This window comes from Homo sapiens, chromosome 14 (genome assembly GCF_000001405.40).
Source record: "Homo sapiens chromosome 14, GRCh38.p14 Primary Assembly".
NCBI lineage: Eukaryota > Metazoa > Chordata > Mammalia > Primates > Hominidae > Homo > Homo sapiens.
The window spans coordinates 30,599,782-30,623,654 of record NC_000014.9 but is presented as its reverse complement, the minus strand read 5'-3'; the positions used below and the strand labels follow the sequence as shown (position 1 = coordinate 30,623,654).

General features: G+C 35.5%; 2 protein-coding genes across 24 annotated transcripts in view, besides 2 other annotated features; both read right to left on the bottom strand.

Annotated features, from left to right (window-relative positions):
- The window catches only part of SCFD1 (sec1 family domain containing 1), a 113,597-nt gene extending 112,196 nt beyond the window's left edge, over window positions 1-1,401 (bottom strand). For 11 of the 14 annotated variants that reach the window (XR_007063993.1, XR_007063994.1, XR_007063995.1 and 8 more), the window contains exon 1: window positions 1,256-1,401. Coding sequence is in view for 3 of the 14 variants with exons in the window: in XM_047431165.1 (XP_047287121.1) it covers window positions 1,256-1,316 (61 nt within the window). In the remaining 11 variants the exon portion in view is untranslated. Of the gene's footprint in view, window positions 1-1,192 lie in introns of all 14 variants that reach the window. The other 3 variants (XM_005267469.3, NM_001257376.1, NM_016106.4) reach the window with 2 other exon arrangements.
- Window positions 803-2,002: an enhancer, noted in NCBI's record as "P300/CBP strongly-dependent group 1 enhancer chr14:31090859-31092058 (GRCh37/hg19 assembly coordinates)". NCBI's record gives its function as "activates an origin of replication core promoter dependent on BRD2, BRD4, P300/CBP, MED14 and CDK7 cofactors, with strong dependence on P300/CBP, by STARR-seq in HCT116 cells {active_cell/tissue: HCT116}" and the evidence as "EXISTENCE:reporter gene assay evidence [ECO:0000049][PMID:35650434]".
- Window positions 1,054-1,733: an enhancer, noted in NCBI's record as "active region_8225". NCBI's record gives its function as "activates an Ori minimal core promoter by ATAC-STARR-seq in GM12878 lymphoblastoid cells {active_cell/tissue: GM12878}" and the evidence as "EXISTENCE:reporter gene assay evidence [ECO:0000049][PMID:35858748]".
- The window catches only part of G2E3 (G2/M-phase specific E3 ubiquitin protein ligase), a 60,907-nt gene continuing 40,624 nt past the window's right edge, over window positions 3,591-23,873 (bottom strand). For 7 of the 10 annotated variants that reach the window (NM_017769.5, XM_011536926.3, NM_001308097.2 and 4 more), the window contains 7 exons: window positions 21,761-21,885; window positions 21,524-21,656; window positions 17,843-18,150; window positions 15,586-15,767; window positions 11,276-11,448; window positions 8,116-8,306; window positions 3,591-7,377 (listed from right to left, as the gene is read on the bottom strand). In NM_017769.5, the coding sequence (NP_060239.2) occupies window positions 7,121-7,377; window positions 8,116-8,306; window positions 11,276-11,448; window positions 15,586-15,767; window positions 17,843-18,150; window positions 21,524-21,656; window positions 21,761-21,885 (1,369 nt within the window). In that variant the 3' untranslated portion in view covers window positions 3,591-7,120. Of the gene's footprint in view, window positions 7,378-8,115; window positions 8,307-11,275; window positions 11,449-15,585; window positions 15,768-17,842; window positions 18,151-21,523; window positions 21,657-21,760; window positions 21,886-23,873 lie in introns of those variants that run through there. The other 3 variants (XM_047431556.1, XM_047431557.1, XM_047431554.1) reach the window with 2 other exon arrangements.

The following is a 23,873-nucleotide window of genomic DNA, read 5'->3' as shown; positions in this document are numbered from 1 at the left end:
CAAAAAGCTCTCTTGTATTGGTACAGTTTTACTGACACGTTATTTTAATATGTAGTATAGTCATCAGAAACACAGTATTAAAACAAATGGAGCTTCCATTTGTTTAAACATATACAACGAATGGCAGGTATGCCCCAAATCTTATTTGAACTTCCCTATATTTAGTTATGCCTGACTTCACCTGATAGGTTATACTAAATTATTTACTGGGAAAAGCAGAACGCAACTCAGTATCTTTTGTGTGTCATTACTAAATTGAAGTCTATCACTTTTTCTTTAAATGCCAAAGGAAGGAATCAAGTACAGCCCAAATCCCTTCTGTAGGTCATATGAATTATAAATTTATTTTCCTATTCATATTTATATCCAACAGAGCATAATTTCAGGAAACAGAATTCCAAGTATGCACATTCTTGATGCCTTATTTCTATTAGCTCCTCAGAATAAATTGCTTGAAAACTTTTAAGACAACTAGTTAACAAGTATAAACCTTTAGTTTGTAGCTAACAGGTATAAACCAAGTTGTCATGAGAAGTTTTCAAGTAAGGCAAAACTAATTTCTAAGACGGAAAAAAACCCAAAACTCAAGAGAAGAATATGTGCCTTTTTACATTTCTCTGCATAAATAGAAGCTATATAAACATGCTCTATTGAAGATAAAATATTATTTTAAAACAATGTGTCAAACAATTAAAATGAGAAAGCTATTAATTCATTTGTTTTGCCATTCTTCAATGCCTTCCAGCAAGCTGAAGGAGAAAATGTTTATCACCAGGCATTTTTCTGCAGGTACCCCCAAAAGACTGGTCCGAAGTAGAGAAGTGGCGCAAAGCAAGCCGCTGTGAAAATACCTAAATTCTCTGAGTGTCAGAAAATGGGAGTTCTCTTAAAAATCAAAACCAGGAGAACTGAACCACGCACAGAAACTCGGAGACCTCATAGGTGGCAACATAGATAAGAAGCTATCAGCTGCTAGATCTTGTTGTGATGGCCTTCTGATGCCCACTAGGAAGGAGACAAGAGCAGGGCCGTAGCAATCCGCCCACCGCTGAAGCTCCTTCTCCTGCACCACAGGAGGAACCGAGTCCTCAAGCTAATGGCAACTTCTCCCCAAAAACTCAAAGGGGAGGGGCTCTTGATGTTCTAGGGACTGGATTAAACTCCTGGAGATCGGTCTCTGAGCTGCACGCACCAGAGGAGAAGGATGTCGTCGGGGCAGTCACGAAGCTTCAAGGAGAAGAGAATAAGTCAGTACCTGTCTGCCTTTCCCGAATACTGGCTGCTGCTGCTGCTGTCGCTGCCGCCGCCGCCGCCATCTTGGCTCCCACGAGCCACTGCCCGGCTGGGGAGCGGAGCGGGGGGATGACGTGGCTGCCCTTACCGCCCCGGAAGCAAAGCCCGGAAGGGCGGGGCCAAAGGGTGTGCCTGAGTTCCGGACCCCACCTCCTCCAGGAAGACCTCCACTCTCGGTAGAACTGGGAGACCCGGTGCAGGTTAATTCAGTGGCCCGTAATGTTAGGCGAATACTAAGAGTTTTTATCCTACCGAATCAAGCCACACTCTCTCAAATGGTAGCAACATTAAATTGAGCTGTTAGGGTAGGAGCGTGTAGTGCTAAGAACCTAATTACTGAACTGTTGGTTTGGTGACTTACAGAGCACTTAAAGGGTGATAATGCTCTAGGAGTATAAGGACCACAGGACTGAAGTAAATGAAGCTCCTGAAACACAGGCAACATTTTAACGTTAGCTCTCGTTTCTCAGTGCAGCAGGAGTCTTCCCTTTGCTCCTTTCTCCAGAGAAACGGAAAGCATTGGAGCATTACTCTGATCTGGCATATTTCTCAGTCGCATCTCTTTAAAAAAAAAGGTGTAGCTTTATGGTGGCGTTCTGCCGGCATGGACACGGGATCCAGGGAGGTACAAAATGAGAAATTAGCATTTCTCCTCTTTCCTTGTAGTAATTGCAAAATCACCTTGCCGTGGGAAGGAAGTCAAGCAGTAGTGGGGTGTGTTGCCTAGGCTGGAGCGCGCAATCAGGGATCACTGCAGCCTCAAATTCTGACGGTCAAACGATCCTCCTGCTTCAGTCTCCCAAGTAGCTAGGGACTACAGGGGCACACCATCAGGCCAGGCTGATGTGCTGGTTTTTGTTGTTGTTTTGTTTTTGAGATAGTATCTCACTGTCTGTCGCTCAGGCTGGAGTGCAGTGGCAGAATCTCGGCTCACTGTAGTCTCGACCTCCCGGACTCAAGCGATCCTCCCAAACTATCCTTCCACCTCAGACTGCCCACTAGTTGGGACTATAGGCAGGGGTCACCACGCCCGGCTAAATTTTTTTTTTTTTTTTTTGTAGAGACGGGGATTCACCATGTTGGCCAGGCTGGTCTTGTGCTGGCGGTTTAATGTACACTTGAAGCCACGTGACCGCAAAATATATGGGATAGATGATTTCTAACTTAATCCATAGATTTTACTGTATGACCAAAATGGATACACAATGACACCTCATTTCCCGAGTTCATTGATGACGCTTCATTATGAAGTTGCACCAAATTCTGAAATGAAATCACTCTGTACCTCAAAAGCTTAACTTTCACAATTATATAAATGAAATGGTTAGCCTAACGATTATATATTGTTTTATAGTGTGAAACACTGGCTTTTTTCATTAATAAAAATTTATTTTTGTGACATTTAAAACAGGTTATCTTATTACATAATCTCTGCCGGGTGCGGTGGCTCACGCCTGTAATCCCAGCACTTTGGGAGGTAGAGGTGGGCAGATCACCTGACGTCAGTAGTTCGAGACCAGCCTGGCCAACATGGTGAAACCCGGTCTCTACTAAAAATACAAAATTAGCCGGGTGTGGTGGTGGGCGCCTTTAATCCCAGCTACTGGGGAGGCTGAGGCAGGAAGAACTGCTTGAACCTGGGAGGCGGAGGATGCAGTGAGCAGAGATCGCGCCACTGCACTCCAGCCTGGGTGACTGAGTGAGATTCTGTCTCAAAAAAGAAAAAAAAATTATGTAATCTCATTTTTATAGCTAATTGGCACATTCATTAAGAAATTAACTGGAATACATGTGTGTCTTCAGTACTATTACTAATATTTTGAAGGAATCTTCAATGATCTAGGTGTGTTCCAACTAAACAAATTATTTCTGCCCTATGGGAAAGTTCTACTGCATTCTACAGTCTCTATGAAATATAAAATGTCTGAGAGCCCAATTTTGCTCATTTGGGTACTTCCACTTTCAAATGCAAATCCATCATTGAGCCACTTCAGTTCCATCACAGATTCTCTCCCAAGACTATGAGTCATGTTAAAACCACGAAGACAATTTTAAAATTGATGTACACTGCATATATATGAAATGATAAAAACTCCTGACCAAGTGCACAGAATGTGGGCAATAAATTTATAGAAAAATACACCTCACAGAAGAACAGCAACCATAGACAAATAGCCCTTGTAAGGCTGAGACTGAATAAGGTATTTGTTTTATTAGAATCAGAAAGACTGAAAATAATCTATGGCTACAGATTGTTCATTAACCTAATTTACTATAGCCATTTATCTGAGTCCAGATTTTTGGCTTAAATAATTTATTCTGGTAAGCTATTTTACATTAGAGGATACATAGTTTTAACACAGATTCCCTCATTTCTATAGGTTCCTGGGTGTCAGACACTAACTGCTTGCTTATAGGATCTCTCAAATGTGGAGAGTAAAGGAATCTTGTATCTTTCAGTTTCGTCAGAATCTTAATCTTATTAAATCCCAAAAAATTACTTAGTTTAAATAGGCAGTTTACCTTTAGTGGCATAAACACATTTATTTATTTATAAAACATTGTTATAAATGTCACGCTTTTTGGTTAATCTGGCAGTCTTTAAAAGGGGGGGAAATAGGCTGACATATAAACGATCACCTAGCATAATACCTGGCATAGTGTAGGTACTGGGATATGTTTATGAATTAGAAGAGATAATGGTCAAAATCAGAACTTGAAAACTGAGTCTCTTCAAGACAATCCAAATTTTCCTAAACCACAGATAATATACATTCAAGTAATTCATCATTAAATGGGTTATGTTTTGTATTGCATTACTTGAAGCATGAAACTTTGTATTGCATTACTTGAACCATAAAAACTAGTTTAATAGCTTATTTTAAAGTAACAATGCAGTACATGATAATCACTATATAAAAGAATTACATGTTTATAATGTAATGATTTTGTTCTGATCATTTTCTTATAATGACTGAATGCTAAAGGCACAGTCACTGAAAAAACTTACCTAATATACTCCCCTTGACTTAGTATTTAGCACTGAATACAAAAGTTCCAATAGCTTCCATATAATTAGGGGAAAAATTTACAAATGCATAAAATAGAAACCAAGGTGAATTCTCATGCTGGTAATCAATCAAAGGCTTTTTACTTAACCCAAACAAAAAAAGTCACTTCCTCAAATTACAGAAACTAAAAATTACAAAGTATAAAATTGTAAGTTTCTGGTGAGATATTTTAAAGAATATCTTGAATAGTAGAGAATTGTATAAAAGGTGTTAAAGTTTCCATATTGGAAAGTGTTTAAAAACAATGAATATCAAACTAACCAAAACCATTAACAGTAGATGCATTATAGATCAATTTATAGTTTTCCTCAACATTAAGAGCAAGAGAAAACAGCCTTAAAATATACAACATTTAGGCAATTGCAATATTTAAGAAATATATGTACACATTTATAAAGATTTATAGCATAATTCTTTTTTAAAATCTAATGTAAGAATTATGCACTGGTTATAAAATTAATAAGAAAAGAACAATTATAATACCAACCATTTGACAAAATGACACTGCAGAAAATAAATAACCTACAGGTTTCTCTGATATTCCTTGACCATACAGATTAATCTAAAAATGGTAATAATGGAACATCCTTCAAACTAGAAAACATTTTGCAAAATAAATATTTATGCTTCACTTTAAAACATGAATATCCTAAATTATTTACACCATCTTATCACTAAGGCCCTGTCTATATATAAAATAAGTCAAATGAGGAATTGAAATACTGTTTTTAATTGTAGCTAACCCAAGTACACTGCCTCTCCACCTGCCACCCCCACCCCAACAAAGTATGTGTGTGTGACTTAATCAGCTTTAATTTCTACCCTAGGGGAAATTAATTGCAACTAAAAACCAGAAAATAGCTTTAACTAGGTTTTATTGGTTTGTATTGGTTTTTAGCTGTAATAAAAATAAGGTGGATAAAGAAACAAATATCTTTTTATCAACATATTTGGAATAAAAACTGTATGGTGACTTTGGGGTTTATATTAGCTATTCAAACTCTTTGATAATTGATCTTTCAATTACTATTGGTGAGACAAAAAAATTCAACCAAAGCCAAAGAAATGTCTTGTTTAATGTTCTTAAATATTTCAAGTTAAAGTAAAACAAATTTGCTAGGTATGTTAGTGTACAGATTGAAAAAGACATGAGGGAACAAAGAAAAGTACACTAGAATTATGTTTTAGTTTTCCTTTGGTATTAAGAGATATATTATCTCTTTCAAATCTATTCTGTTACTTAAAAAATATCAATAATGTAATGATTTTTCTTAAGAAGGGTGAGAATACAACAGCTGACACCTGCTTTGTGTATTAAGAAAAATATGGTTAAAACATTTTACTTCCCATAATGATTTACTTTCATGGAAAACTGAACCATTATATCATTTAAATATGTTAATAGATTAAGGACATCAGACTTTGTTTTCCAATTTTTTCTTCTGTGGGAGTATAAATATGGGGACATGACTATGGGACTATATATTTTCACATTGTTAGCACTTTGTTAGTACAGTTACTTTTAGGTATTGTCTTTTAGTAGCATTATTAAAGTTAAAAAATAAAGGAAACAGAAGTAAAGAGTTTATAGAAGGATACACAGAAATACGGTACTTATCTCTGAGTGGTGACATTAGAATGGGTTTTTCATTCTATCCTTTTTACTTTATTTATACATTGCTTATATAACAGATATCATTCAAGAGCAATGAAGATAACTGTATAATGCTATGGCGTCAACTTACCTTAGCATACAACCAACTTGATAATAAATAATGGTCAAATGGCCAAACCTACCAATCCACAGAGATCATTCAAATATCTAAAATGATTATGGATCAGACATACAGAATACCAAACATAGGATACAAACAACAACAACAACAACAACAATTTCCCATGATTAAAGCCAAGGCTTTAAAGAAGACACACTTTCTTAGGTATTTTCAACTAAATGTTATCCACCTCAAAAGTGTTTAAGCTCATGGAATGTCCATAGATTCCAGAAAATTTGTGCAATTCTGTTTTTTTTTTTGAGATGGAGTCTTTGCTACATTGCCAGGCTGGCTGAGTATCTCGATTCTCCCACCTCAGCCTCCCTTATAACTGAGATTACAAGCACATGTGCCCAGCTTAATTCTGCTTTTTATATAATACTTCCCACTAGGCATAATCTAATTGCAGTGTGGGTCATCTTAATATAAATCAGTAATCTAAAAACATTTTAAACAACTAATTTGGTGACATCCTAGAAAAGTATGCATAGTAACACAAATCCCAGAATATATGACTCTGATTTATATAACAAAATTTAACCAATTAGCTTTTCTATTTAATGCTTTAAAATAAAATGAGGAATAATTTGAAAATTGAATAAACCTAGAGAAATTGTGGCATTCTATATGTAATCCTAATTTACAAAAAATGTGAGTAAAACAGTTTTTACTTTTATTAACCATGCTACCATACCTAAATAAAATCCATACAACCATTTTGAGAGTATTTATATTGAGGTTTATGAAGTATCTATATCAAGAAAATGAGAAATTATCACCAATTTTGACTAGTATGCTTTAACAAAAAAAACCTTTTTTTAGCCTAAGTGGCTATAATATTCCTTTATATTCATATCATAAATTTTATTAGGTCAAGAAGCTAACTAGTTTGTTCAAAGTGATGATGAAAAGGTTAGTGAAATAAAAGAGAGTTATCAATAGCAGCTTTTAAAGAAGCTTCTCTTTGTTCAAGGAAACATTTTAATGTCCAATGTAATGAGAACTTTCTTCCTTTTCTAGTCTTAGAGTGTTTCTTATGGTGAAGTCCATATTTTCTTGAAACTCTTTATATGTATTGGTGATGGGAATTGCTAAACAGTTATTACACTTGTTTCCAACAGGAAAATCCACATGCAGACACTCAATTGAAGGAGTGGGTTTAAATCCAGCTGGAGGAATGGAACTGCAACCAGTTGCAAAAATAAGAATGTCTTCCATTGTTGTTGTAGATTTACCATCTGAAAAAATTTACCAATAAAAGAGTAAAAGAAACAAAAGTAAATCCATGTTATATATTGCTATCATCATAGATTCTTCTCCAAATAGACTTGGAATACTGAAAGGCACAGACTCCCACATTTGTTTTGGGCAAACTAAATCACAAAGTCAGATGTAGTAACAGGCAAACAGTACATAAATGAATCTCAAAGTAGAAGGACTAATACAATCATTTAGTACAACTACTTATTGTATATAACAAATACAGACAGAAAGACTAAACGGTAAAAAACCAAAAATCTAGCTAAACAAAATTTCAACTATAAGTTAAATTCTTCTCCACTCTATCAGGCAGAATGATTTTACACTGCTAATGCTCAATGATAAATATCATTGTTATAGCCCTGACCAGTGGGTGAAGAATAATTTAGTTTAACTTCAAATTGAAAATGATGAAATAGATTATTAGGATTAAAACTGTTCTATGCGGTGACAATAATGTTTTCTAGAAAGAATGCCTTTCACCTAAACTTATCTAGAGAAAAAAATTACAAAATATAAATTTACTCTGTAATCTTTTCTCATTATTTTTAATTCAGTCATATAAACTTGCTTTGAAATAACTTTCTTTTGTAAATACGGAGTTAGCATCTTAATATTAATACCAAAAGGCAAAACATACACAAATAAAACCCCCAACAAATATGCTGAAACAAATATTCTGAGATCGTTAAAAGTAAAATAAAATATCCACATACCTTCAACAGCCTGTAAGTAACTGTTCCAAAACCCCAAAGCTTTCACATCAGGTAATGTGTGTACTGTAAAAAGCTCACTAAGGATTTTTGCAGAAAGACTCTCAGGTTTATGACACAGGATGCTACAAAATGCTTCTGGATAAGCCTGAATTTTCTCCAAAACACCAAGGGTTTTCAGACCCTGCTTAAAACTTAAGAGAAGAAAAATAATGAGCCAACATTCATACATGTGTGTTTGGTATTATATTAGGGAATATTTCCAGCATTTTATCTGGCATGTTTTCAAAACAGCTAATGATTTTTAAAAAACAACCAAAAAACCCCCACAAGAGACAATCATATTTTCAGATGTGAGGAAAAAGAGAAGATATGGATATACTACACATGATACTTTCAAATCCATAACAAGCAAATACATTAATATCAAATGAATATTTTATGTACCTACATTATTTGGCTTTATAGTTTCAAAACTAACAAGTTTTTATTAGTAAGAAAGACATCAAAATCTGAAGTGTTTTACACTTCAAAGCTAATTATTATAAAAATAAAGTTTCCCAGATATTACCAAGAGTGATAAATCTTCATTACATAAAAATTTAAAACCCATGTATTGCTAAAAAGAAATTAAGATAAAGCAAATGACAGATATTTTATATGACAGAAAATTAATTTTATGCAAAGAATACAAATTCTTCTGAAAGATCAATAGGGAAAATGAACAAAAAATATATGATTAACAAAAGAAATGCAAGTAACAACTGAATATTTTAAAATGCACATTTTCATTAATAAGCAAAGAACAAACATATCATTTTTGCCTGACTTTCTAAATTTCCTATTCACCTCCTCAGATACTCTTTTGTATGTGAGTGGGACGTGAGTTTTAGAGTGCCAGGAGCAGAATGTTATGGTTTCAAATGAGTTCCTTCGAAACTCATGTTGAAATTTAATGGCCAGTATAACAGCAATGGGAGATAGGGTCCTTAAGAGGTGAGTAGGTCACAAGGGCTCCGCCCTCATAAATGGATTAATATCATTATTGTGGGAGTGAGCTCCTGATAAAAAGGGTAAGTTCAGCCTGATTTCGAGGGCACACCTATGGGTTGAGTGCTCACTTGCTCTTCCACAATGCTATGACACAGCAAGACAGCTCTCACCAGATGCTGAGCAGATACTGGCACTATGCCTTTGGACTTCCCAGCCTCCAGAACTGTGAGAAATAAATTTCTTTTCTTTATAAATTACCAAGTCTCAGGTATTGTTATAGCAGCATAAAATGAGCTAAGAACACACATGTTTATCTGTTATCATTAAAAAGAAAAACAAATAATAAAAGAATAAACCACAAAAAAGTTGCCAAAATGGTTACTTCATAAAGGGTTGAATGGTGGACATAGTAAGGATGAAACCTATACTTCTTTGTATATACTTTCAATATATTCTTATTATACATTTGACTTTGGAACTATATAAAACATTTTATATAATTTTAAAATAAAATGAAATGTTAATAAAAACTAATCACTAAAAATAAAAAATGAAAATGCAATTTATGCTCAATTTTTAGCCACACATAAAATATTCCAATGACTTATAAGCACAACAATTTGATAATGTTAGTATTGTTATTCTGAGACTATTGGTTATGAAATGTGGAATAAATCACATGAAATAGTTGCTTCATACTTAAATTCTCCAGTGTCATTAAGAACTGGAATTCTCAACACAGGACAAAGAAAATGTTAAGTAAAAATCATGCAATAGAGAATCTGAATTAGAATTATCAGGACACACTCATAATGTATCTTTAAAAAAAAGTTTGATTTTAAAAAAAAAAACAAAATAGATTAAAATAGATTTAAAAACCCTTGATTTTCTAATTTGGGTTCAATGAAAAGGTCTAGATACCATGACCAACCCACCAAAACTAAGAATCTCTAGCATCCAGACTGTGGTTGTGAATTACCCATTTCCCATTAAAAATAACAAAGGTTCCTTAGGCTAAAATGTACAAAATGAGTCTGAAACACCTTGTGATACCATATAGCAAAAAAGCTTACAAAGACCATTAAGGCTCACATCGAAAGAATTAAAAACAATAATATAAAGAGACTTATACTGGTCCAAGACATATAAACTTCAGTAGTAATAGTAACTATAAAGATTTTAAACACATCAAATATATTTAAATCTATGGATTAATGATACTACTTTTTTTTAAATGAATTTATCAGGTTTGAGATGATATCTGGTATTGGCTTTAAAATAATACTGGAGTCAATAACAAGGGTAGGATAAAGATGAACAAGACAGGCACAAGTTAATAAGTGTTAGATCTGGATGGTGATTACAGACTTTCATATGTGTATTTCCATTGTTTAAAAAAATTGTAAGAGTGTAAGGAGATACATAAGTTGTCTAACTTAGACCAGTGTTCTAAACTAAAGGACAGCAGGAATCATACATACCTTGTTAATCAAAGAACGGTCAATATATGTATTACCCAGCAGATAAAAGGTACTCAATAAATAGTTATTAAATGAATGCACAGAGACAGAATAGTTGGCTCATGTGGTAAGAGTTTTAAAAAGAATATTTTTTAGAAAAAAATTATAATCTGAAGCAGTGGTTATTTCTATGAAAGCATCATACATTTACACAATTCTTTTTTCATTTTTTTGAGAGGGAATCTTGCTCTGTCACCCAGGCTGGAGTGCAGTGGCATGATCTTAGCTCACTGCAACCTCCGCCTCTTGGGTTCAAGCAATTCTCCTGCCTCAGCCTCCCAAGTAGCTGAGATTACAGGAACCCACCACCACGCCCGGCTAATTTTTGTATTTTAGTACAGACGGGGTTTCACCATGTTGGTCAGGCTGGTCTCAAACTCCTGACCTCAAATGATCTGCCTGCCCCAGCCTCCCGAAGTGCTGGGATTACAGGTGTGAGTGAGCCACCATGCCCGACCTACACAATGCTTATTAAATGATCAGAACAGTAACCATCCTAAAAAGGCTTAAGTTATTATTTAAAAATAGCATTTAAATTTTTTTCTGAGAAAAACATCTCACTTATTACCAAATATATCTCACATTACAAGATAATTAACCACTTTAAACATGTAATTTGAAAGAGCCATATATTAATAGAAACAACTTACCTTTCAAAGGGTGTGTGGACTCTCTGAATTACATGGTAGCCAAGTATGTCTTTTACTAACATATATTTATCACTTAATGTCGTTATAAGTCTGAGACATCCAATTAACTCAAGGTAGTTATAGCATTCATTTATTATTGACTTTAAGTCAGCTACAGTTGTTGCAGTATTTATCTGTAATGAAGGAGAAAATACAGCCACTTTACTCATTTACTTTTGAGTGACATGCACATTTCAAATGATACTTGTTAATTTATACTCAAATTTCTTAGTACATATGGGTGCAGTAAAAGTAAACCAAGAAATATTCTTCTAGAATAAATGTCTGATCATCCAGTTCAACAAATTTGTCTATTTCTGCCTTCAAGAAATCCAGAGTATAATGCCACTTTACTACGTGAAACTATTTATAAAAAAGGAAATAACTGACATTGAAAAATTATATAGCACTAGGTAAGACTAGCTACTAGGGAGGCTGAGGTGGGAGGCCTGCTTGAGGCCAGAAGTTCAAGAACATCCTGGGCAACACAGCTAGCCCCCCTCTAAAGAAAAAAAAAAAAGGCCTGGTGTGGGTGGTATACACCTGTAGTCCTAGCTACTCTGGAAGATGAGGTAGAAGGATTTTGAGCCCAGGAGTTGGAGGTTCAGTGAGCTATGATCACACCAATGTACTCCAGCCTGGGTGACAGACTGAGACCTTATCTCTTAAAAAGAAAAGAAAAAAAAAGAGAAAAGTTACCTAGTACTAGATAGGCAAGAAAGATGACCTGAGAATTCATGAAAAAGAGTAACAGCTGAGAATTAAAAGATGGACAGAATTTTATCAAGAATATTTTAGTGAACAGCATAAACAAAGAAATACTTGGCCATTTATGTGCAAGACACTTTCATACAGGTTAGCTCTTAAAGGTACAGATGGAGAAAGTTAAAAATAGGAAACAATCCATTAACAGAAAATTTACTTGCAATTTCCTTTTCCTAAAACATTCTTAGAGATTTACATGACTTCTTTTCATTCATTCAAAATCTCTGCTGAAATCTCCTAAGTTTTTCATGACTATTCTGCTCAAAATACTATCTTTACACCCTGTCGGAGTAATAATTGGGTATATGTTGCCTCATCCCTGCAAACCCTCAACCCTGAGTTTCAGCTGGGCACATAGCCAAACTTTTGCTGCAGCTAGGTGGGGCTACATGACTGTTCAATGGGATGTAAGTAAAAACAACATGTCAAACTTCCCTGCTCTCAACTTCCACTTTTCTCCTTTAAGAGCAAGCTTCAACCATGTGGATGCAAACAATAATGCTAAGTGTTACACGATAATGAGAGGAAGGAACTCAAGTCCTTAGACGGTTTTGTAAATCACAACTCTATCTCGAAAACAGAGGGCCATCTGTATAAAGGGCCAGATAGCATTTTATGCTTTTCAAACTATATGGTATCTGTTGCAGCTACTCAACTCTGCCACTGTAGCGTGAAAGCAGTCAGATCAGTAGCAAATGGGCATGGCTGCATTCCAATGTAACTATTTACCAAACAGGCAACAAGCCAGAACGTGACTTACAGGCCATTTTTTGCCAACTCTTACCCTAAAATCTAGACAATGGATTTTACAGAACAGTAAACATCTGCCTTGTTTGAGCCACTGTCTTTCTGGGTCTATGAGATACAGAAGTTTAGCCTAAAACCTAACTTGTATATACTCCAACCCTTATCCATCTCCTTTTATTCTGTTGTATGTATGCATGTATGTATTTATGTATACATTTATTTATTTGGGATGGAGTCTCACTCTGTTGCCCATGCTGGAGTGCAGTGGCATGATCCCGGCTCACTGCCACCTCTGCCTCCCGGGCTCAAGCGAGCCTTTCAAGCAGCTGGGACTATAGGCGCGCGCCACCACACCTGGCTAATTTTTTTGTATTTTTAGTAAAGATGGGGTTTCACCATGTTGGCCAGGCTGGTCTCGAACTGCTGACCCCGGTGATCCACCCACCTGTTCTCCCAAAGTGTTGGGATTACAGGCGTGACCCACTGCGCCCGGCCATATTCTGTTTTATTTAGCATTATAATACATTTTACTACGTGATGGCATATTACATTTGTTGTTTATCTTCTGTGTTCTCTCTTAATGTAAATTCCAAGAAGGCAGATACTTTGCTTCACTACTCTATCTTTAGTAACAAAACAGTACAGAATACATAGTATTTCTTAAATAAATGAACAAACACTGGATAAAAAGTACAGAAACTGGAGTAGATAAAGCCATGAAGAGAGGTGAAGGTCTTAAATGCCCTAATGAAGAGCTTCAACTTCGTTCAACAGGCAATGAGAAGCCACTGGGGGATTCCTGAGGAAGAAAGCAATATGGTCAAAACTGTACTTTTGGAAGAATCATCCCAAATAAGAATATTAGAACAACATTCTAATTGTCTAAGCCTAGGGAAAATTTGAGTTTGGTAAAATAGGCACACTAGAAACAGGAAGGAAAGGTTGACAATAAGTCAGTCTTAGAGGCAGGTGACTTGACATATAACTGGAAAATGGAGGAGTATGAAAATGACTCTCCAAGACAGCTTGGAAGTAAGAAGTCTCTTGGAAAGAAAAGGCAAACAGGTAAAAACACAAAAAAGCCCCACAAAAAACAATCAAACAAAAAATTCTGGGAAAAATACTATTTTTATCTTAAACATGTTAGACTCAATGTGCTAGCAAGACCCAGGTCTTATCTGTATATAAAAGTCCGGGGGCTCAAAAATACAGGTCTGTAAATCATTCAGAAAGATTACAGGAGAGAAGAAGCTCTCCAAATAATAAAGAATGATGACTGTTAAGACAACACTGAAAAATGCTAAGTTTCAGGGGTAAGAAGAAGTAAGAAGCATTAAAGAAGAGAGAATCATCAGAAGTAGGAGGAAGTACAATATTAAATAAAATATTGCAGAGAAATTCTAAGTGGTAATTGCAGAAGTCACAGCAGATGAAAAATTAGAAAAGGCCTTTGGACATGGATATTTAGCTCCCTGGATATAAACTATGAACTAGCTAACTTGAGACTGGTGGTAGGGACAGAAGCCTGATTACAAGAAATAAATAGGAAATACGAAGTAGAGACAATGAAGCTTAAATATACTTTTTTTTTAGTAAAGAGGGCACAAAAAGAAAAACGAAGAATTAAAGGGTCAATTTAAAACATGATGTTAGGATAAGCAGTCTTAGGGCAAATAAACAGAATTGTTGTAATACACTGTAGCAACTCACACTTCAATAGTGCTTACTGTGTGATTTAGAAACTGAGGTTTAGTAAGATTAATATGCCCAAAGTGACACAACATATAGTAGTTATAAGAGTTGGCATTCAAAGTAAAATCTGACTTCCAAGCCTGTGCTTTTTTTTTGAGACAGTGTCTCCCTCTGTTGCCCAGGTTGGAGTGCAGTGGTGTGAGCTCAGCTCACTGTAACCTCCATCTGCCGGATTCAAATTATTCTTGTGACTCAGCCTCCAGAGTAGCTGGGATTACAGGCACATGCCACCACGCCTGGCTAAGGCCTATGCTTTTAATCATTAAACAACACTGCCTGTTAATTGAGACAATGGATAGAATATGCTTAAGTAGGAGGGAGGTTAAGGAAGAAAAGTTAAATGGCTTGCATTGTCTCAGTTTTTAAAGCAGTAACATGTTGGCAATGACACTTATATGGCATTATGATAAATGAGTGTTTGCACATGTGACATGTTTAGTACAGGTCCCATTATAAGTGCTGAATAAATGAACTATTTTTAGGCGGACGCATTAAGTCCTCCCCGATCCCTACCACTTGTTTCCCTTTGGAAGAAATTCAGCCTAGTCTTTCTCTCCATCTATCATTCATACCTCCCTATAGAAGGAAGGAAAAGTATTCTAACTGGTAAGCCAAATCCTTCCTCTCTTCAGACCCATCGGCCTCCATCAAAGTGCACTTTCATCTGCTTTCTAGCTTGCAATAGGGAATCTGCCTCACGTTGTCTCTAGCAAGGCAGGCAAATCCATGTATTTCTGAGGAGTATTCACAAGCCATGGTGAACACAGACCAAAATCACATTATCCAACTGGTTTTACCAACATTAAACGTGGCACTTTAATCTCCAGCCATCTGACTTTTAAAACTATCTTTTAACTGGTTCAGAACTCCACTGGTAAACAGAAATATATGTTTACAATCCCTAACTCCTTCATAGATAATACTATTATTTTATTGCAGATCAGTCATTTACATTAAAAGATACCTAGAATGTAGTGTGCATTTTAATAAACAGATACATTGCTTACCCTGATTATAATCTGTGCCACATCAAAGTCTGAAACATCATCTAAAATTGGCTGGGTATTTTCTGGTCCATAAACAAGGCAGTTAAACAAGGTTTTAGAAAAGAAACCAGGTGAAGGACCACCGTGAACTAAAGAAATGGCAAGCATTTTGCCAGCTTCATAGTAAAGATTCTCTTTCAGAGCTGTAAATACAGATGAAAATATATCAAATACACTTCTATTATTATAAGATAACCATCATTTTTTATATTAAAAATTAGTCCAAAAATCTAAGCATTAGATAAATATAATTCTTAGAAGCTATCATTATGTAGAAAATATAGATCTTACCTAAAATATAAAAAAAGACACATTTTTCTGAATATAAAGTAAAAATCTATTGTAGAAAACATAAAACACAATAAACCTACCACCATAATAACCACTGTGAACACTTTGGTGTACAGTCATGCACCATATAAGGATGTTGTGGTCAAGAATGACCAAATACACTAAGGTGGTCCCTAAGATTATAATGAAGCTGAAAAACTCCTATGACCTAGTGATGTTATACTGTCATAGCACAATGCATTACCTTTTGTATATTTAGATATACATATACTTACCATTGTGTTACAATTGTCTACAGTATTCAGTACAGTAACATGTTATACAGGTTTGCAGTCTAGAACCAATAGGCTTTACCATAGAGCCTTGGTGTGTAGTAGGCTACACCAACTAGGTTTGCGTAAGTATACTTTATGATCTTTGCATGATGAAATTGCCTACTGACACATTTCTCAGAACATATCCCTGTTACTAAGTGACAAATGACTGTACTTGTACCTCTTTGTGTATATAAATATAAAAAGTTTGACTTATGCTTTATCCACTTATTATATTGTAAACTTTTTATCATACTACTCAAAATTACTCAAATCTACAGTTAATAAATGCATTTAGACTAACTTAGAGATGTACTATAATGCAAACCATCCCCCTGGCTATCCTGGCTAAGTGATATTTCTAACTTTATGAGACATAATGTTACAGTCAACATACTCACATATTCTTGTTTATATTTATTTGATTAGGATTCCTACAGATGGTATTAGTAGGTCAAAGGATAGGAACATTTTTAAGGTTCTTGATCTATATCACTAAATAATCTTTCCCAAAGGCACAAGTTTACTCCCAACAGTATATGCTGTCTTACCTTACTGTCAGAGCTTGAATTAAAATTGTCATTTCAAATGTATTAGCAACTTTGATGTGCCAAAACAAGTAAATTTTTCCTTAATTTTTAAATTGTTGAAAGCAACTTATTAATAAGTGACATTAACAATACCTGTGTAATAACCTTACAAGCTACATATTCATAGTCACATTTTACAGATGAAGAAACTGAGATCCAGAGAGAGTAAGTAATTAAGGATGTAAAGAACTAGATGTGTACAAACTTGAATTCAGATTCTGTGATTTAAATTCACGTACTCTCCACCATACCAAAGCTGCCTTGAGTTAACATTACTATTTGGAAAGTTTTTTCTTTATTTTTACATTTTATTTTAAAGGGAGTTTATAATTAAACTGTGTGAACTATACAGAGTAAAAATGATGCTTTAGGCAATGGTTAGGATGTTTACAGAAAATATAGTAGGAAATTCAAATGAAATGAAATGCCTTCTCATTTTCTTTCAAATTTCCTATTACAGCAAAAGTAGTATAAAAGCCCCTAAAAGAGAATGCCAGAATTACCCACTGTTTTGAGATGCCTGTTATAATTACCTTAAGTTCTCACCAATAGTGAAGACAGAAAACCATCATATACATAATTGTGCAAAAAAAAAAATATTGCAAACAAAAGTATACTGAAAAATTGGTTACATGTGGACCAGGAAACTATGTTATAAAAACTCTATGTTAACCGCAAATTCCAAATATACAAACAGGAAGAATTCAAATAATCATCCCCATTTGGCCACTCTATTAAAATGAAATTAGAGTTAAGATAAAGTTACACTTAATTATGGATTATTTTAAGGAGAATATTGCTATAAAGAATGTATATTCTTAAATAAAAAATGTTTCACCACAAAATTTACTTTTTAAACTATCACTCCCCCTTCCCACTTTCCTGTGATTCTATCAGTAGTTTATTAACAAAGTGAACAGTATATTTAGAGCACAGGTATTAAATATCAATTCTAACCAGCTATCTATCTCTTTTTCTATACATGTGATATTTGGTATATACAACAATAAATAAAATAATTACCTTGAGAATTTAGAGACAAGTTCTTTGACAAGGACCCTTCAAACAATGATGAGTTCTCAAGATGTTGCATTAAGAGACTCAGAAATTCTTGCTTTGATCCAGGATGCTCACTTCCAAAATTATCATTTTCAATAACATATGCTACTTCAATTGCATATGAAGGATTAAAGTTTCGATTTCTGAATGCATCTAAGGCACTATTCCAGATATTGGCTTTGTTGATATACAATCTTTTAGTTTTTTTTTTAATTTGGAATCCTAACTCTATTAATAGTGTTGATACATTTCTTCTAAATTTGCTGCCTTGCCTATAAAACATGAATTTAAATATAGAGATAAGTACTTTAAAGTACTTTATGTGAAACAGCAGTTATATAGCCAATAAAACAAGACGAGGGGAAAAAAAGATTAATAGGATATTCTTCCCCAATTCCCACCCAAAATTGTAACAATGGCTGCTACTAGAACCAAAAACAGTTATTTGATAATCTTAGTTTTAAATTCTTGATTCCTCACCCCAATCTTTTACCAAATTAGAATCATGTACAAGAAAGTTGATAGATAATTATCTCAAATTTGACCAACCAGTGAATTCCGGTTTAAGAATCAGAATCTCAGGCCAGGCGCGGTGGCTCACACCTGTAATCCCAGCACTTTGGGAGGCAGAGGCAGGCGGATCACCTGAGGTCATGAGTTCGAGACCAGTGTGACCCACAGGGAGAAACCCTGTCTCTACTGAAAATACAAAATAAGCTGGGCGTCGTGGCGTATGCCTGTAATCCCAGCTACTCAGGAGGCTGAGGCAGGAGAATCACTTGAACCCGGGAAGCAGAGGTTGCGTTGAGCCAAGATCACGCCATTGCACTCCAGCCTGGGCAACAAGAGCGAAACTCCGTCTCATAAATGAATGAATGAATGAATGAATGAATGAATGAATGAAGCAAGCTCAAACTCTCACCTTCCTGGCTAATGGCTATAATTAACTTTCTTAATTGTAGTTTACTTCACATTTACTATGTCCTTTTTTAAAAAAAGCAAATGTAATCTCTCCTTACTATATAAGAAAATGTCTTTGAGAGATTACACAATATATTTTAAATCATAAAGTCATAATTAACAGTAGAGCTAATATTATAAACAGAATTCACAATTCCTAAAATAGTACCTTTTAGTCTAGATCAGTAAGTCACAAAGTGTGCTCCCAGACCAGCAGCAGCAGCAGCAGCAGCATTACCCCAGAACTTGTTAGAAATGCAAATTACTGAGCCCTACAGCGCATCTATAGAATCAGAACCTGTCGGCATGAAGCCCAGCAATCTGTTTTAACAATCCAAGTGACGATATAAACCAGCTCAATCACTCCTTCCCTCAGTTTCTCCATCTGTAACTGGAATTAATGTTCTCAAAAATAATCTTGTTTTGGGCAATGCCCATGGATCATTTTCCATACCAAGTATGAATCTGTCCCACCCCAAGACGTTACAGTGCCCTAGTGTAGGCCAGGTTTTGCTTTTTCTTTTTTCTTATGATCCTCTCTTCATTAACTCATGTTGAATAAAAGCGAAAGTCCTTTGGAAGTAAGATAATTCTTCAGAAACATACCTTTTTTATAGCAGGTTGATTCCTTGCTCCTGCCTGGATCAGGGGAATGCTGATGCTATTCTTCTAAATATGACTGCATGTTAAAGCAGGAGCAAGGAGTCAAGCTTCCCTGGTGTAGCGTCTTTGGAAATCTCAATATTAAAATTATTTTAAAATAATGTGAACATCTATTTTGATACTAAAAGTGTTATAACAATATTTGTAACAGATTTTTCAGTAGAGCTAACACAAGTGGCATAGTAAAACAGATATTCTTCACATTTTGAAAGAGTACTTAATATTCTACCTGTCTGCAAATCCAGTTATCAAATGTTTTCACAAAAATTCTCTTTACTATCTTCTAAGGTTTTAAACTTGAAACTTTTTAGAGACAAGGTCTTGCTGTGTCACTCAGGTGAGAGTATAGTGGCATGATCATAGCTCATTGCAGCTTGAACTCCTGGGCTCAAATGATCCTCCCACCTCAGCCTCTTGCCTAGCTAGGACTACAGGTGCACACCACCATACCTGGCTATTTTCTCAAAATATTTTTGTTGAGACAGAGTTTCGTAATATTGCCCAGACTGGTTTCGAACTCCAGGGTTCAAATGATCCTCCCACCTTAGCCTCCCAAACTGTTGGGATTACAGGTATGAGTCACCATGCCCAGCCTGAAATTATTTTTAACAAGAAAGTATTTCATCATGCTTAGCGACTAATTTTCTACTTCTTCCCTATTGGGTAAAGCAAGGCTCTAAAAACTCTTTTGCAAATCTATATAAACTTAAAAATCTTAACTACAGCTGAACAAATACCCAACATTATAAAGATGTAATTCCAGTCTTATTTAAATGTTTAAGATTTTGAAAGTAACTTATTATTTTGCTACCTTTTTTTTTTTTTTTTGAGACAGAGTCTCGGCTCTGTCACCAGGCTGGAGTACAGTGGCGCGACCTTGGCTGACTGCAACCTCCGCCTCCTGGGTTCAAGCAATTCTCCTGCCTCAGCCTCCCAAGTAGCTGGGACTACAGATGCACAACACTATGCCCAGCTAATTTTTGTATTTTTAATAGAGACGGGGTTTCACCATATTGGCCAGGATGTTCTCGATCTCTTGACCTCGGGATCCGCCCGCCTAGGTTTCCCAAAGTGCTGGGATTACAGGCGTGAGCCACGATGCCCGGCCTATTTTGTCTCATGGGAACAGAAATTAATTTGATAATAGTATGTATGCCTTAAACTTTCTAAAGGGAAGAGCTGACATTTAGACTCCTGCCATTGACAGTAAACAGGCAAACAATGATTATAACATCAAAAAATGGCAGGGCATAGTGGCGCACACCTGTAATCCCAACATTTTGGGAGGCAAAGGTGGGAGGACTACTTGAGACCAGGAGTTCAAGACCAGTCTGGGCAACATAGCAAGATGTCCATCTCTACAAAAATTTAAAAATTAGCCAAGCATGGTGGCATGCATCTGTAGTTCCAGCCACTTGGTAGGCTCAGGTGGGAGGATCACTTGTGCCCAGGAGGTCGGGGCTGCAGTGAGCCATGATCATGCCACTGTACTCCAGCCTGGGTAACAGAGCGAGACTTTATTTCTAAAAAAAAGAAAAAAGAAAAAAAAATTTCTATATTAAATAGGATTCTTTCCTTTTAATAAGGTGACACGGTATGCTTGATATTTTACTTTCCTGTCTTACTCTATAATCAAATAACATTTTAAGTACATTTTCCAGACCAGTGTTTTTCAAACTATCTTGAAAGTGATCTATAATAAAAAATATATTTTACATCATTACTCAGTACACAAAAAAATAATTAGGATAGATACACTTTTCCCACGTATGATGCAGTAGGATAGATACACTTTTCCCACGTATGATGCAGTTTGGTATTTTGTATTCTATTCTATCCCATTTCATTTTCTTTAAAATGCTGGTTGCATTGATTTCATGATCAAATGTTGGGTCCTGAAGGCTGAAAAACATTCTTCTAGACTACTGTATGATCACCTAATATTCTAAATGTATATGGCATTTCCTATCATAATTTTCTCCAAATAGATTTTTATGTATTTCTCCAATTCAAAATACATACCTCAGTAGATCTTTACTCTGGGATCCAGGTGACTGTCTGGGTAATTTAGGTGATGACTCTTCCAACAAACAATCTGTAATCCCCACATTATTAGAATTGGGTAATACATGTTTTTTGGCTTTTTGGAACTCTCCTACAGATTTAAATTTCCATGTTAGCATAATAGAGATATAGGTAAAAACTTTTAAATCATATACATTTGAATAAAAACTTTATTCAAAATTACAAAAAAATTACCTGAATTGTAGATAATACCCCTACATTCCAAACACTCCCAATTTTGCTCCCATGACCGTAATGAGGAGCAGGCTAAATGTGTGCCACTGGAACCACAACACTGACAGCGCTTTATTTCCCATTTGCTGAGGACACAAAGAAAAGCAGAACTTACATTTTGTTATTATTCTAGTTTCAACCACTAGCAATGTCCACAGGGCCTGCCTTCTTACACACAAACACGCACACACCCGCCCAATCGATTTACTAAAGGAAGAAAAAGATTATCTGCTTCTCTAAATATCTCTAATGTAAAAACCAAAACTAACTTATCACACTCATATGCACATACAAAGAATATAAACAAATATTTTGTATGTATATGCACATACAAAGAATATAAACATCAGACAAAATATGACTAAGAGGGAGAAAATAAATTTTCCTTTCTACTTAGAGATGACTATGCTTACAGGGAGATTGCTGTGTCAGTGTGTCTGATATGGAAGAAACATTCAGTAAATTTCAAGGTGAGGAATATTTCCTAAAATAAGCTTGCTCAAACACCTCAGGTATTGTGCAGTTCAACAGAATCCAGATCTACCTGGCTCATATTTATATTCTCTGTCATCTGTTCCCAGCTCCATGTTTCCCCACTGTGTTATGTGGTGTATGCCAGTCCATATTCATATTTTCTCCATGACTACAAGTGTGGGCTGTAGTGTAGGGCTCCAGCCTTTTTGTTGGGTATGACTATGCCTTCTCTGTTTAGAAACAGATTTAGCTCCCCGTGTGTGTGAGTGGCAAGAGAGGTAACTAGATATCATCCCTACCCCAGAGGTGGGGGCATATCATCCCTCTGTGTGGGTGTGCGTATGTTAATTTCTGTCCTGTGTATGTGTGTGTCTCTGCCCAGTGACAACAGTGCGGAGGAAGAAACAGCTAACCTAAGTGCTTATTATGCTCCAGGTCCAGTTCTCTCTGTGTTCATATGAAAAGTTTAATCCTCACAATTGTAGAAGGTAGAGAGAACCACTGTCACTTCCATTATAAAGAGGAAATCAAGGCACAGAGGGGTCAATAACTTGTCCACTCAAGTTCACACTAGCCAAGTCTCAGAGTGAGGATTCCATTTCAGTTTATCTAGCTTCAGACATGCTCTTAAGCACTAACCATGCTGCCTTTCACTAAAACTGCCTTCTTCTCACTAGGATGAGAGGGCGTGAGATTACAAAGCAGTCATTCAGATAGACAATATCTTTGTCCTGGAAAGAAGAGTTGTAGCTACTGATTGAGAGACCAATGGTATACAAGAAATACATATAGGTTAAGAACAGCCTAAAATAAATTTGAAAAATATCAATATTATGAATGTATTGCTTCTTAAAATTCTATATACATTATTTCATCTGTGCCTCAGCAAAACTCTTGAGGGAGATATTATTGGTGTTAACGAATGAATAATCAGGGTCACTAGATCAAGTAACACAGGCAAGAATACATGTTACTTGATACCTTCAATGAGATCTCTGCCTTCTAAGAATTTTTGGTTTAATAGCATTAAATTTAAATAACGCCAACTATATTGTAACAAGCACAATGAAGGGAACCCCTAGCCCAGAGTAGGGAATCAGGAATGAGGAGAGCTGCTAACAGGAAACTTTCCAGAGCAGGCTAGACCTCAGCTGAATCTTCACAATTAAGTAGTAGCTGACTCAACCTTGTTTCATGAAACAAGGCTCCCAGTATTCTGCTCTATACACTGAGCTTACTATGTTAAGTAAGACTACATAACAGTGATAACAAATTATTGAAATTTCCTATATAAATTTTGTAAACTGGATTTGTTACTTATCCTACATCTTAAAAACTGAAGATATTCTTAGTTCCTACTATGCAACACAGTACACTGTACCTCAAATGCACAAAATGACTGTTGTAGAAAAGAGCCGTATCCACTGACATTACAAAAGAGTAATCAATAAATTTCAAATGCCAAACCCTTTTTATGGTGGTCCAAAAGGAACAGTGCTAGATGAATCTAGTTAAATTACCCTCTAGAACAGTGCTGTCCAATAGAAATACAATGTAAACCATATATGTAATTTAAAATTTTCCAGTAGCCACATTAAAA